The following is a 16223-nucleotide window of genomic DNA, read 5'->3' on the forward strand; positions in this document are numbered from 1 at the left end:
GGGTTGGCCTCCACTCTCTCCGAGTCCTTGGTACACTTTGGGGGCTGGCGCTACAGTGTCTTGGAGATACACTGTCATGTTCAAATAGTGTAGCTCACAAATTCATGTCCCCTTGGAAGCTCAGGATGTGGCCCTATCTGGAAATAGGGTCTTTGTAGATGTAATTCATTAAGGTTCTCATGACAAAAGCGTCCTGGATTTTGAGTGGGCATGAACTCCAATGACTGGTGTCCTTGTAATAAGAGGAGAGGACACACAGCCACACAGGGAGAAGGAGGCCACATGAAGACAGGGGCAGAGGCTGGAGGGAGGCAGCCAGAAGCCAAGGAGGCCAGGGAGGAGTTGCTCCTGGAGTCTTCGGAGGGAGTGCAGACCTGTGACACTGTGAAAGGTGTCCCTTTCCTGTGGGAAAGTAAATATCTGTTGTTTGAAGCCACTCACAGTCACACAAACCAAATAGTGAAGCCCCCGAGATGCCACACTCACACCTCCTTTCTTTGAAAAAGTGAATTCTTCTGCATAATTAGCCACATTTTTGTCATGTGACCTTGCCACCCTGGTCACACATGGTTGGACCCAGGATTGGTTGGACATATGGCAATGCCCATGCTGGATTGGGAGATTTCTCATCAGCTTGTCCTTTGAGAAAAAGAGACACATGCACACAGAGGGGCATCTGGTGGAAGTCAAGATATGGAGCAGGAGGCAGAAACCTGAAAATAGGTTGATGCAGAGAGCGGCAAGAAGCTCTGATGAAGAGAGAGCGAGCGAGAGTGAGAGTGTTAGGGGCAGTCTGCAGAATCGGTGGCCATGTTGCTCACTCAGCAGAAGCACTGTTAGATCCTCCAAGAAGCCTGGGTCCGGCTACTGTGAATGCATTTGCTTCCTAGGCTCCTGCACTTCCTCTGGATTCTCGTAGTCCAGCCCCAAGTCCAGAGAGAACCCGGGCACTCCTCTGTTCCCGGCAAATGAAACAGCCCAGCCAACACCAAACACAGGTGACACCACCGAGAAAAATAGGCACTCACATTTGGTTGTGTTTCATCCAAGGCCAGCCCGTATATAAACTATTTCCTGGCTGTGTTACCCGTGCAGTTGCTTAACCTCTGTGAGTGTCATCTATCAAATGGAGTTCATGCCATCCTCAGAGGGTTTTGTGAGGATTAAATAAGCCATAGAAAACGAAACACTCACTCCAATGCCTGGCATCAAGCAGGGTCCTCATGGTTTCCTTTGCTTCGAGGGGATGCAGCAATTCAAAGTCTGGATTGAGGTCTGGGTCTATAGTGTTGAAAACTGACACATGCTTCCACATGCTTCCAGTTTAACCAGTCTGCAAGTGATATTTTGAAAACTCTTTGGAAGGGTTCAGTTCAAGTTTCCATAACACAATTGAACTTGGGTGGAAATTTAGCAAAGCAGTGTGTTCCTCCTCCCCGCCCTGGACTTTTTTTCTTTCTTGTTTATGGCTTGATTTTCACTGATGTTCCTGCAAGAACTCATCCATACAGCATTAATTAAGACATCAGCAGAGGCCCTGAAAGTTGATTTTTGGAGCCCATTAGCCTGCCAGAACATTTCCTAGCTTATGAAAAAATTTTTTTTACAAGTCTGATAACACTTTGTACATCATTGGACCTCAACAGTATCGCGCAACCAAATCAGCACTGGCCTCACCCTCACTGTTTCCTAACGCTGCGCCATTCTCTAGTGCTCCAGCTCTGGGCCACGCCCCCGGCCTGGGCACCCAGTCCTTTAAGAGAGACAGCATAAGATTTTTAAAATGTGGAATCATGTTCCTCACGGGCACGCGACTTAGGAAAAACAAGGAGAGTTGAGGCAAAACAGATCATATTATCTAGTGCAGCCTATCGTGTCTTCCGGAGGTAGAAATGCTTCTTTAGGAGGTCCCCAGTGCGGTTCCCAGGCCCTGTGCCTCCAGTTCCACCCTCTGATTTTCATCCTTGGTCTTCTCCTCTTCCTACCAGGCTGGCTCAGCCGCCAGCCTGCTCTGTGGCTGAGCAGTTCCGTAGCAGGGCTCTGCTGCATGCATTTCCCAGTGTGCTTTCCCAGTGATGGCTCCCAGTGGAGAGGATAAAGGTGTGGTGGGAAAGGAAAAAAGACCCCCATGTGAATGACCAAAAATAGCAGCTCTAGCTAGGGGAGGGCAAGGAGGCGGGGGGCAAGAAATGGGGATGTATACAGAGGCTGTGAGGGGCCCTGTAATGTTTTATTTCTTTTTTGAGATATGGTCTCACTCCCGTCGCCCAGGCCAGAGTGCAGTGCACCACCACGCCTGGCTAATTGTCTGTATTTTTTTTAGTAGAGATGGGGTTTCACCATGTTGCTCTGGCTGGTCTCAAACTCCTGGACTCAAGTGATCCACTTGCCTTGGTCTCCAAAAGTACTGGGGTTACAGGCGTGAACTACCATGCCTAGCCTGTTTTATTTCTTTGTTTTAAAAAAAGGTTGGTGGGAAAAATGGCATCATGATAAGACAATAAGTTTGGTTAGAGCTTACAAGATATGTGCTAGTATTCTCCCGACTTGCTTATATGTTTGAAATATCTTATATTTATAAAATTTTTGAATTTTTGTTGTCATTTTTTAGAGACAGTGTCCTGTTGTTGCCCAAGCTAGAGTGCAGTGGCACGATCATGGCTCACTGCAGCCCCAATCTCCTGGGCTCAAGCAATCCTCCTGCCTCAGCCTACCAAGTAGCTGAGACCACAGGCATGTGCCACTACACCCAGCTGGTTTTTTAATTTTTTGTAGAGACAGGGTCTTGCTATGTTACCCAGGCTGGCCTTGAACTCTTGGCCTCAAGCTTATAATAAAGCTTTATTTTAAAAATACTTGGAAAGAGATGTTGGACTTAAAAAGAATAAAATAAAAAAGAATTTCCTGTGTTGAGAAAGCTTTTAAAAGCAGTCTATACGGAATTTGCCCTACGTGAATGAGAACTGGGGTATTGAAATTCTTCTTGAGTATTTGAATGACTATTTGAGCACATCATAGAGATATAGATTGAAATAGCTTCCCCTGTCACAGAAAGCCACATATTTAATCCATTGACACAATGTAGACCTTTGAAGTATCTGACCCTGTATGAAGGTTTCTTCAAACGATGATTCTGCTTTAGGGCCCTCTTTGTGATGGGATTTTTCATTCTTTCCTCCAAAGCCAGTTTATTTCTCAAGATTGTTCTCTGCTGAATAAGAAGAGAAGTATTTGGGCAATCACTGCCCGTAGCTAGGACTCTTGTTCCTTGGGATCTGGGGCCAAAGCGAGGATTGTTTTCGAGGCTCCAGGATGACCGTGTGTCGTGAGAGCAGCTGTTGCGTGCTCAGCTCTTGTACGCTGGGCCTGTGTAAGTGTTCCTGGATCTACATCCTGGTGTCCTCAATGCACTCCTGCGATGTCCATGAGTGCTGGAGGTCAGGCAGGGCAGCGAGTTCATTCACACCCAGAAACTGAGGCAAGCTCTAATTTGCTTCTGAGATGGCTAAGGACTAGGGGAACACTATTTATGGAGGCTTGAACCCCTTCATTATGACCTGGTGCTGTTCGGATTTCTCTTTGTGTGTGCATCCCTGGAGGTATATAGTTACCTTTTCCTTGACTAAGAGCTTTCAGAACATGGAGAGGCCATGCACAAGAAGACCTCCTACAACCAGCGGTGACCTCTTTGATTTCTTGGAGGGTTTGTGTGGTGATTTTAGCCAGTCCTCCAGGACTTGACCTGGGCAGCAATGAAGGGCCCAAGGTGTGCTGAGTGTGCTGCAGAGGAGAGTCAGAAGCCAGAGAGGGGCTGTTGTGCCCTCTGCTTGTTACATCACTTGAATGAACACCCTTCTCATGGTGATGATAATATCCAATCAAAACATTGCCTAGTAAATGAAAGAACTCCCAGGGAACAAAGCAGGACCAATTTAAGCAACAAAATAAAGTAGTATTGCATTCTAACCTAAAATATAAAATAAATAACCACAAGTCCATTTTGATATAAACACATGATTGATATGTTAATAAATTGAGGAGAAAATAACAAATATCCTATGTGGGAAAATCCCAAGTAATTTATGTAGCTATTTTTGTTGTTGTTGTTGTTTTTAGAGACAAGGTCTCACCCTGTTGCCCAGGCTGGAGTGCAGTGGCACAATCATGGCTCACTGCAACCTCTGCCTCCTCAGGATAAAGGGATCCTCCTGCCTCAGCCTCCTGAGTAGCTGGGACCACAGACGCATGCTACCATGCCCGCCTAATTTTTGTATTTTTTGTAGAGACGGGATTTCACCATATTGTCCAGGCTGGTCTTGAATGCCTAGGCTCAAGCAATCTGCCTGCCTCAGCCTCCCAAAGTGCTGGGATTACAGGTGTGAGCCGCTGGGCCAGGCTATTCTACCTTAAAGGAGGTGGAGAATAACTCATCACTCCTCAAGCGTGGGTTGTGCATAGCACGTTTCTTCCAAAGAGTTCGCCATGCAAAGTGGGGAAAACTGGGCAGTGGGGAGTGGAGAGACCTGACAAACACTACCTCAGCCAGGCGGTCAAGGCCAGCACCAGCAGTCATAAACCATGTGGACAGCATGACCCTGGATATGATGTGCTGAAAATAGTGCTTTACTTCTGTGATCTGCCTTCCACAAACCCATACCCTCGGTAAAATTATGAGAGAAACACCAGACAAATTCTCATAGTAGGGCAGCCTGCAATATACCTGCCCAGTACTCATCAGAACTGCCAAGGTTGCTAAAAACAAGGGAAGTCTGAGAAACTCACAGCAAAGAGGAGCTTCAGGAGACATGACAGCTAAATGTGAGGTGGCATCCTGGATGGGTTCCTGGAACACGAAAAGGACATCAGGCTAAAACTAAGGCAACCTGAATGAACCATTGAATTTAGTTAATAATAATGTTTCAATCTTGGTTTTTTAATTATAACAAATGTACCACACATATGAGATGCTAGTAATAGGGGAATTGTGTGTGTGGGAGGGGTGGGTGGGGTATAGATGGGAACTCTGTATTCTCTATGCAATTTTTCTGTAAATCTAAAACTGTTCTCAAAAAGTCTATTAATTTTTTAAAAATTAAGGAAAATAGGAAAAAGTACACTGAGATGACAATAGCAGACATTTTTGTTCCATGCATACATAAATAATTAAGATGTCATATTTATTTCAAGCTTCTTTAATACATAAATTATAAAAGTTGAAAAAAATGTTGCTGCAATGGATCAACTAAAAATATGGTTGTAAAAATACTATAGCATCTGTGGTGGATTTAAGATGGTCACAGATTCTTTGGCTCTCTGTTTCTTCACCCCCTTGAATCTGGGCAGAAGTGATGTGTGCCAGTACAAGGCTTGTCTTTGACAAGACTGGCTGTTTCTGCCTTCTGGAACATGGCAGCCATGTTGTGAGGCAGCCCAAGCAGCCACGTAGAGAAGCTCACGAACTTTCTTCATATACTGACAGCCCAGTTGAACTTCCAGCCCACAGCTAGCACCAACTTGCCAGCCATGTGAGTGAATCATCGTGGAAATGATATCTGCCAGCCCTGGCCAAAATGCCCCAGCTGATGCCACATAAAGCAAAAATTAGCAGTTGCCACCAAGCCCTGCCTAAATTGCAAAATCGTGAGTAAAAAATGATTGGTGTTGTTTTAAGCCTCCAAGTTTCAGGATGATTGGTTATCCTAATAAAAGATGACCCAAACAGTACTGTACAAACAGAAATATTTGACCCTATGTCTTATCTTGTATTTGAGACTAACAATCCCATCCATTCTTCCATAGGTTGAGATGTTTCCCAAAATGCCTCACAAATATTCTGGGATGTCACCTTTTGCAATGGATCTGCAGGTTCCATCGTGCCCTAGCTTTTTGCCTGAGGGGAGGCTCTGGCCATGGGTCCCTTTTCAGGTCAGCAAGAGTGCCGTGCAGAGCAGGAGCCCCATCCAATGCTCTACAGGTATACCATCCAATACTGTCCAATATTGTAGCCATATGTGACTAATGAGCACTTGAAGTGTAGCTAGACTGAGATGTGCTGGAAGCACACAAAACACAACTCATTGTACAGGCTTATACAGTACTAGTCTTCGAGAGAATGTAAAATATCTCACTAATAATTTTATATTAATTATGTGTTGAATTGATAAAATTTGGATGTACTGGATTAAATAAAATACCTTATCAAAGTTAATTTCACCTTCTTCTCTTTATTTTTTTTTAATGTGGCTACTAAAACTTTTAAAATTACATAGGTGACCCATTATATTTCTAGGGGACAGCACTGCTGTAGAGAAAAGTGTTCTGGGTTGAACGTGTAGTTTGAGAAATGCTGCTTAGTTACCCCTTCCCGGAGAATGACAGGGCACAGGAGCACATTCAAGGCTCTGAGAAGATCTGCAGTAAAGGAACCTGTTTAACCCTGGGGCATGATCAGGATTGCAATGGACAAATAGAAATATTTAATTGGATCTTCTATGACCAGCTCCTGTTTGTCATTCAGCTCCCAGTTCCAATGTGTCTGTTCTCAGTGAGGCCTTTCCTGACTACTCTCTCTAAAATAACCCCCTCCCAACCAGTTACTCCCCATCACGTCATTTTGCTTTATTTTCCTTTATTTTCTTTCATATTTTTTTCTCCTTGGCTGGAATTAATCCTGGGTATCTATCAGGGTTCTCATAGGAAACAAGTGACACTCAAAATAGATGACTTGAGACGTTTAAAAAGGGCTGTTTATAAAGGTGGGGAGGAGTTTAGGGAAGCAATAGAGATGCTATAGGATCCTGGCCTCAGCTGGGAGCTGACACCGCCCCGAGCTTGAAGGGGCAAGTGGAGGGGACAGTTATCAGTACCCAGAGAGGGAGGCTGGGTGGAGGGATGGCCAGGTGGAAGCCGGGGCCTCCGTAAGGGGACATGGTCAGCCTGTGGCCACCCCACAGGGAGGGAGCTGGGGGAATGAATATACTAATCTTCTCCATCCCCAGCTCTGGACTCCTGCCAATCCTCCCTTGGCCAAGGCCTCCAGAAGTCAGAGAGCGAGGGAACATATGAACTATCTATCCTGGTCTACTGTCAATCTCCTTCCACTGAAATATCAGCTCCACAAGGCTAGTGGTGTCATGGATTTGCTCACTGCTGTAGGTGCCTAGTGAATATTTGCTGGAAATGGAATACATGGGTGAGTACATAAATAGTTGCTTATGTTCGAAAGCCAAAGGCCTCAGGACACTGAGGTCCTAAGTGACACTTGTCCTAAGTGACAGAGCTAATCTGCCCCCCTTTTATTTTTTAGTAAATCTTTTTGATATTAGAGCCTAAATATACAAAACATACAAACTATAAGGACATGCTTCCGTGAATTTTCACAAACTGAGTTCACCCAGGTACCTAGTACGCAGATCAAAGGAGAGACTGTTGCAGTGTCTGAGGCCCCATGTCCCCTACCCAGGCATTACCCTCCCCACTATTCTCTCGGATTTACCCCCAAAAATTGGTTCTGTCTGGTTTTGAACTTTAATAGAATCATACAATATGTGTACTTCTGTGTTTAACTTCTTTTGCTCAACCTTAGTTTGTGAAATTCATCCGGGATGTTGTGTGAGGTTATACGTTATACGTTCTCATTGCTGTATATTATTCAAATGTTTGAATATAACACAATTTATTTTTCCATTCTATTTTTGATGGGTATCATTAAATTTATTTCTAGATGTGTTCTTCCATTGATTTAAGTCTTTATTAATTTTTCTCATTAATGTTTGTATGTGTAGAGGTCCTACACATTACTTGTTAGATTTATTCCTATATGTTTTCAATGCAAATATAACATTATGCCAATAGTTGTTAGCTATTATGAATAGTGCTGTTAGGAATATTTTTGTATATGGCTTTTGAGGATATATGTGTGTGTGTCTGTGTGTGTATATGATATATATATATCATATACACACATGTATATATATCATGTGTATGTATCTCATATATGTATATGTGTATATATATCATATGTATATATATCATATACACACACAGACACACACACATATCTTGGAGTGGAATTTCTGTGTCATAGAGTATATGTATATGTATATATTCAACTTTAGTTGATATCACTAATTTTCCAAAGTGGTTGTCTGGTGATATACCTACTTCAGTGAATAGTATTATGGAGATTTTAAAAATTACAGCCATTTTGATGAGTGAGCATTGGAGTTGATATTTTCACTGTGGTTTTAATTTGCATTCTCTGATGGCTAATGAGGTTGAGCACCTTTTTATATTGGCTATTAAGATATCTTCTTTTGAGAAGTGCTTAATTCACGTCTTTTGTTCATTTTTCTGTTGGGTCGTTTTCATTTTCTTATATATTGCATATGTGTGTATTAGCTGAAGGACTCAAATATAGAATATATAAAATTTCCTGCAAGACAATAATATATATTGACATATATATGACACATATATCTCTTCTTACTTTGATTTGTCTTTTCAGTCTCTGAATGCTGTTTATATAAATGTGAGTTTTTAATTTTAATAGTTCCAGTTTATCAATTATTTCTTAAATGGTTAATGCTTGTGTGTGTGTGTGTGTGTGTGTGTGTGTGTGTGTGCAGGTGTCTAAGAAATCTTCGGTTGTAAAGATCTTCTCCTATATTTTCTTCTAGAAGGTTTATAATTATACTTTTTGCAGTTAGATCTGCATCTGGAATTGTGTGGTGTGAATCAGGGGTCAAAATTTATTTTTTCCATATGGATATCTAATTGACTCAATATGATTATTAAGTCAGACCGTTGTTCTCTCCCTCCTCCACTGTACTTCAGTGGCACCTTTGTCATAAATCAGGTGACTGCATAGTATGGGTCTTTTTTTTGACCTCAGTATTGTATTTCATGGATCTATTTTTATATCCTTTAGCTATTAACATACCGCGTTTGCAATAGGTCTTGTTATTTGATGGTTGAAGACTCCCAGCTTTGTTCTTTCTCTTCAGAATTGCTTTGGCATTTATGTCCTATTTCAGTATGAATTTAATAGTTGACTCATTAAGTTCCACAAAAAAAACCTTTCAGGATGTTGGTTTGAATTGCATTGAATCTATATTTAACTTTGAGTTAAATTGATATCTTTACAGTATTGAGTCTTCTAATCCATGAATATGGTATGTTCCTTGATTTATTTAGATCTCCATTTATTTCACTAATGTTTGTTTTATGCTAATATAAACAATATTCTTTTAAAGTTTGTCAGTTTTTTGCATTTATATGGAAATACGATTGAGTTTTACATACAATTGACCTTCTTATCCAATGACCTTCCAAAATTCACTTATTAATGATAATAGTTTTTCTTTAGGTCCTTTTGTATTTACTGTGAACAAAGTAATTTTTTTTTGCAAATAATGATTTTTTCCCCAAATTTTATATCTTTTTATCCCCTCTTTCCTTTTATTTTTGCACTGGCTAGAAACTGTGGTTCAATATTTAATAGAAGTGGTGAAAACAGGCATTCTTGCTCATTCTCATTCTCAGGCAGAAAGCTTTCAATATTTGCCGTTAAGTATAATACTTTCTGTAGGGCTTTTTTTTTTTCTTAAACACTCTTTATGGGACTAAAGAGGTTCCCTTTTGTTCCTGTCTGCAGAGGGGATTTCAAGTTTTTTAAAATCATAAACGTGTGTTGAATTTTATCAAAAGCTATTTCTGTGTCTACTGAGATGGTCAGATGATTTTCTTTTTATTCTGTTAATGTAAATTATAGTAATTTTAAAATATGAAGCCAACCTTTCATTCTGGGAACAAATGCAACTTTCTCATTCTTCATTATTATTTTTATATTTTACTAAATCCAATTTGCTAGTTTGGTATTTTTGCATCTCTGTTCATAGGACTGATTGGCCCATAATTTTGCTTTATGTCAAGGTCAGTTTTTGATGTCAAGATTACAATGGCCTAATTAAACAAAATAGAAAATATTTTTTCTAGTCTACGCAAATGTTTATATAAGTTTGGTGTGATTTCTTCCATAAATATTTGGAGAAATTCATTTGTAATTTATTTGGAGGAAAGCCATCTATGTCTAGAGATTTCTTTGTTATCTTCAGCTTTAATATCTCTAATAGAAATAGGACTATTTCAGATTTTCTATTTCTTCTTACATCAGCTTTTGTTAATTTTGTTTTTCTAAGGATTTTCCATTTTATCTAAAATTTTTAATTTATTAACATTCAATTGTTAATAGTAAGTTGTAACTATATTTTTAACATGTGCAGGATATGGAATGATGTTTTCTTTTTCATCAAAACTGGTAATTTTTGTCTCCTCTATTACTTTGCTATTACTTTGTTATAAGACTTCCCAGAAAGCTAACATTTATTTTACTTTTATGAGTGCCAACTTTTGGACATATTGATTTTCTATCTTGAATGTCTGTTTTGTATTTTATTAATTTGTGCTACTAGTTTTTTTTCTTTTTTCTGGTTTCCTTAGACATAATTTTCTATTCTTTTTTTTGACATAGATAACTAGCTTACTGATTTACATATTTTTTCTTTTAAATTTATGTATTTAAGGCTATAATTTCTCTCTAAGCAGAGGTTTAACCACATCCTCCATATTTTGATATGTCATATTTTCATTATCATTTAGTTAATGATATTTTCCAGTTTCCACTGAAATTTTTTCTTTGACCCATTTAAAAATATATTGCTTAATTTCCAAGTATTTGAAGAATTCCTACTTATTTTGTTATTGATTTCCAACTTAATTCTTCCATGGTCAGAGAACATATTTTGTATGATTTCAATCCTTTGAAGTTTGTTGAAACTTCGTTTATGGCCAGCATAAACGTTCCATGTACACTTGAAAAAACAGTATACTTTTTTGGACACAGTGTTCTGTACATGTCAATATATCAAATTTGTTAATTGTGTTGTTTAGATCTTACATATTCTTACTGATTTTTTTCTTTCTTGTTATATATTTTATTGAGAAAAGTTTGTTAAAGTCTCTCATTATTATGAGTGTGGATTTGCCTAGACTTTCTTATAATTCTGTCAACTTTTGTTTTTTATATTTTGAAGTTGTGTTTTTTACATACATATAAATTGAGAATTTCTTGGGGGATTAACGCTTTTATTGTTATGAAACTTGAAACTTTTGATCTTAATCAGGCTTTTTGCCTTAAGTCTATTTTGCTACCAGTATACCTATACCAGCTTTCTTTTGGATATTGTTTGCATGGTAAATCTTATATCATCTCTTAATTTTTAATTACTTTATATCCTTATATTTGAGGTGTATCTCTAGTAAACAGCATATAGTTAGATTTTGTTTTTTAATCTAGTTTGATAATTATAGATGTTTAATTGAACTATTTAATCGATTTACATTTAATGCGATTACTGATATATTTGGGTGTGTATCTACCATCATGCTATTTGGCCAAACTACTGCATCATAAATGGAAATGAGTCAGTCCCTCCTTCCGGTCCCACTTTCTTCACTCTCCTCTATCTCGTTCCTTTTCCTGCCTCATTGGCTTCTTCTTACCTTAGTTTGTTTTTTTTTTCTTTTTTGCTGTGCCTCTCTCTTTTCCTGGACTTCTAAATATTGAAGTTTCCTCTCAGTCCTCACAATTATTTCTTCTTCACTCACTCTTTAAGTGATCTCACCCCTTCTTAAGGATTTAAATAGGCTGCCAACTCCCAAGGTGATGGCTCCACCCTGGACCTCTTCCCAGAATTTCAGATACATATAGCCACCACCATACAGCGCCATTTTGGGAAGCCTACGTCCACAGGCATCTCAAACTAATGTTTCAAAAACAGAGGTCTTAGCATAGTGAGAGCTTCTGTGTTCTTCCTGAAGTCTTCCCCATCTCAAGAAGGAGCAACTCCGTTTTCCCACTCATCAGGCCAAAACTTTAAGGTCATTTTTGATTACTCTTTTTTACTCTTACAGCAACATCCAATCCATCAGGAAGACTTGTTTATGCTATCTTCAGAATATATTCGTAATATGACCACTTTCCACCACTTCCTTTGCTGTTGGCTTGAGCCTAGCCACTGCCATCTCTCACCTGCTGTATTGCAGTGGCTTCCTAACTGGCAACTTTGCCTCCAGTCTAGCTTCCGTGCAGCCTTTTTTCCACACAGCTGCTGAAATGTTCTTTAAAGGACATATGGCACAAGGCATCACTTCTATGCTCAACACAGAAATGGCTTTCTATCTCAATCAAAGTAAAGGCTGAAGTCTCTACAATGGCCTATGGAGCCCTGATTGATCTAGCTTTGTGCTACCTTTCTGATCTTAGCATCTGCCCATCCCCCATTCACCCTGCTTAAGCCAACTGCTCTCCTTGCGATTCCTCATAAACACCAAGCATACTGTCACCTCAGGGCCCTTGACCATGCTGTGCCTCCTCCTCCTTCATATCTTTGCATGACACACTCACTCACTTCCTTCAGGTGTCTGTTCTAATGTCCCAGTCTGAACCATCTTATATAAAATATCAAAGCTCCTTTCCTCCGTGGCTCTCGTCTGTTTTGCTCTGTGTGATTTTCCCCCAAAACCCTATCAACCCCTGGTATATTACATGCTCATTGATTGATTTATTTACACTGTTGCCCTTCAGCATAAGCTCTGAGTCACATAAACTTTGTTTTATTCACTGATGTATCTCCAGAACCTAGGTCAATATCTGGCATATAGTTAGCCACCAATAAATATCTATTAAATAAACAAAAGGCATTTTTACAGCAATCCTGTGATATTGACAGGGAAGGTGCTGTTTTCTGCTTCCTGAAGAGGAAGCCGAAACTCAGAGCCTTGACTGATTTATAGAAACCACACATCTGTTAAGTGGCTTAGCTGGAAGTCAAACAAATCTTTTCAGCTCAGTTACGGGCTCATTTCACAGCTACACATTTCTCAGCCATGGTGGATTCCACATTGATAGCCAATGATGACAAAAATTGTAAAGTGAGGATCAGGCAGACTCTGACATTTCTTTTGTTCCAGTTTCCACATAGATCAGCAATCCCTAAAAAGAAAAAAAAATTAAAGACCTTTCAATGTATGTGGTTTCTTCAGAGTTTGCTATGGTTAAAAAAACAAGTGGGATCTGAGTGAATGAGTTAGGAAGAGCTGAGCTTTGTGGTCAGGGATGCCCTCCCAGGGTTCTGGGAGGTGTCATCATATATAACAAATCAACAGGGAATATTTTTTTACCCCAATATCAAATATGACCTTTTTAAGATTCTGAGATAAAAGAAAAATTTATACAGTCATTTAGAAAATATTTATTGGGTTACTTGTGATGTATCAGGAATACTGTGCTAAGCACTGGGAATAGAGTGCTGAGCAAAACAGACAGGGCCTTGCCCTCCTCTAGTGGAGAAAAATAAAGTCTAAGTGAGTTATCACTGGATGAATGAATTTCAAAAGAACATGGCATTTGCTGTGGAAAGCACATTCAATAATTTCTCAGATTACTTCCTTGTTAAGATAAAGGACTTCTATTTAGAGGCCAGAATTAGGAAACCATATGGTATGTCAGGTTGGAGACATAGCTAGATATACACATGCGAAGTCACAGAAAAAGAAGGTTAGAAAAGGATATCAGGGCTGGGCGTGGTGGCTCATGCCTGTAATCCTAGCACTTTGGGAGGCTGAGGTGGGTGGATCACCTGAAGTCAAGAGTTCGAGACCAGTCTGGCCAACATAGTGAACCCCCATCTCTACTAAAAATACAAAAATTAGCCGGGCGTGGTGGCATGCACCTGTAATCCCAGCTACTCAGGAAGCTGAGGCAGGAGAATTGCTTGAACCCAGGAGGCAGAAGTTGCAGTGAGCCGAGATCATGTCACTGCACTCCAGCCTGAGCAACAGAGTGAGACTCTGTCTAAAAAAAAAAAAAAAAGGAAAAGAAAAGGATATCAGTGAGAGACATGCACAGTAACTGGTATTTGGCAGGTCTAGTTAAAAAAATCCAGGTGAACTATCATCTTCTAGCTATCTAGAAAAATCCATCCTTCTTTCCTTGTGCTTGGGATATAAACTACATTTCTTAGCTTCCTTTGCAGTAAGATATGGTCATGTGCATGAGTTCTAACCAATAGAATGTGAGGGGAGGTGATGAGTGCAACTTCAGGTCTGGACCTTAAAACCTCTTGTGAGAACTTTTTAATATGGCAGAACTGCCACTAGCCTGGCTCCCAGAATGACTGTATGGAGTAGAGTTGTTGCTGACCTGAATCCCTGCTACCCAGAAAGGCTTACATTTAGAAATTTGGAAGTTTTGAAATTCTTTTTAAAAATTCCATAGACTTTTTGGAGTCTATGAAAGAGACTCTTGGTATGCACTAAATACTATGAGCTCCTCTACATTTCCCAGCCTCCCTTGCAGTTAAGCTGGTCAGGTGACTCAGTTCGGGCAAATAGGTCGTGGGAAAAAAGACAGATGATACTTCAAAGCCTATGCCATAAAAGTCTCCTATGTAAAGCCATTTATTCTCTAGCCAGTTGGTACCAGGGCAAGTCTGAAGCCACAAGATGGCAGAGACACAATGTGAAGGGAGTCTGTGTCCCTGGATTAGTGCTTGGAGAAGAGCCACTTAGGAATACAACATCAGGCTTTTCATAAAGATAAATCAGTTTTTATTAGTTTTAGCTTCTGATATTTAAGGTTATTTCTAATGCAGTTAGCCCACCGTGACTAATACGAGGTCTATTTACTGCTGCATATTAGCCTACTTTAACTAATGCACCGAGTGTTCAAATAGACCCAACACCAAAATTTGAGAGCATTAGCTCTGACACTGCACTGAACAGGTACCAGCCATTTTACAAGAACCAAGAGAGAAGAGGTGAGGCCTGTTTTGTTCTACAGTGTCCCCAGTGCCTAGCATGGCACCTAGCACTGTAGTAGGTGCTCAAATGTGTATATTGAAATGATCATGACCAAATGTCCATTTTTCCTTTTTGACATAGAAAACCCCAAATCCAATTCTAAGTTTCACAATCTTAATTAGAATAATTATAACATGTGACTTTTAAAGAAAGATGTAAAATCTTTGGAGTCAGATAATCCTTACTCTGTTTGCCACCTTAAAAGCATGTCATCTTCTGGACCTGAAGTCTGATTTGCCAAACAGAGGTGCTGCTTCCTGTGTTTCAGAGGCACGGTAAGGACTGCATGAGGTGATTAAGGTCCTGTAAAGAATCTAGCTCTGTCTCTGCCACCAAGATGGTTTTGATTAAATGTTTGTTTACTCATGGTACTGACAAAATGTATCATTAAATGCCTTGAGTAGACCCAGGATGACTAATGAAGGGCTTACATGATAGGTCCTATGAAGAAAGACCAAAAAGTTACTCAAGACATTCCACTAGCTTAGAGGAGGCTCATTCCACAGCAGCACATGAAAAGCAACACATAAACAAACAACACTTGTTTTTAAGCATGTGAAAGGGTCCACCATTTATTTTACAAGAGGATAATGAGGGACAACCTGGAGCTGTGAAAAGAGATGGTTTTGGAGGCAAACCTAGGTTTGAATCTTGTTCATTTAATACTCAACCAGTCTTTATTAAGGGCTTCCTCTGTGCCAGCAACTGTTCTAGGCACCCAGGATCCAGGCTTGAAAAAGACAAAGGGTCTGCTCTCCTGATGCTTTCATTTTAGCGCAGGGGATCAACAATAAACAGCTAAACAAAGAAATAAATATGATCACATCTGTGCTATGAAGAAAAGTAACTAGCTTATTAACTGAGAATTTGTCCAAGTTATGTTTACCGCCATGAGCCTCATTTTTCCTCTGTAAAATAAGAAACAAGTCTCTGTTTTCCTTGTTGTAGATTAAAATGTTATATGTAGAGCACCTTACAGTTAATGAAGAGTCTCTTGCCAGGCGCAGTGGCTCACGCCTGTAATCCCAGCACTTTGGGAGGCTGAGGCGGGTGGATCATGAGGTCAGGAGATCGAGACCATCCTGGTTAACACCACGAAACCCTGTCTCTACTAAAAATACAAAAAAATTAGCTGGGCGTGGTGGCAGGCACTTGTAGTCCCAGCTATTCGGAAGGCTGAGGCAGGAGAATAGCGTGAACCCGGGAGGCGGAGCTTGCAGTGAGCCGAGATTGCACCACCACACTCCAGCCTGGGCGACAGAGCGAGACTCCGTCTCAAAAAAAAAAAAAAAAAAAAAAAG

The 16223-nt window shown here is 40.1% G+C and overlaps 1 long non-coding RNA gene across 2 annotated transcripts in view; it reads left to right on the forward strand.

Moving 5' to 3' along the window:
* LOC105377732 (uncharacterized) overlaps window positions 1–16223 on the forward strand; it is a 139446-nt gene that overhangs the window by 115411 nt on the left and 7812 nt on the right. For both annotated transcript variants that reach the window (XR_001743001.1, XR_007059057.1), the window contains 3 exons: window positions 5497–5640; window positions 5800–5974; window positions 6999–7192. This is a non-coding gene — a long non-coding RNA (uncharacterized LOC105377732). The remainder of the gene's footprint in view (window positions 1–5496; window positions 5641–5799; window positions 5975–6998; window positions 7193–16223) is intronic.

The sequence above is a fragment of the Homo sapiens genome, chromosome 5 (genome assembly GCF_000001405.40).
Source record: "Homo sapiens chromosome 5, GRCh38.p14 Primary Assembly".
Classification (NCBI taxonomy): Eukaryota; Metazoa; Chordata; class Mammalia; order Primates; family Hominidae; genus Homo; species Homo sapiens.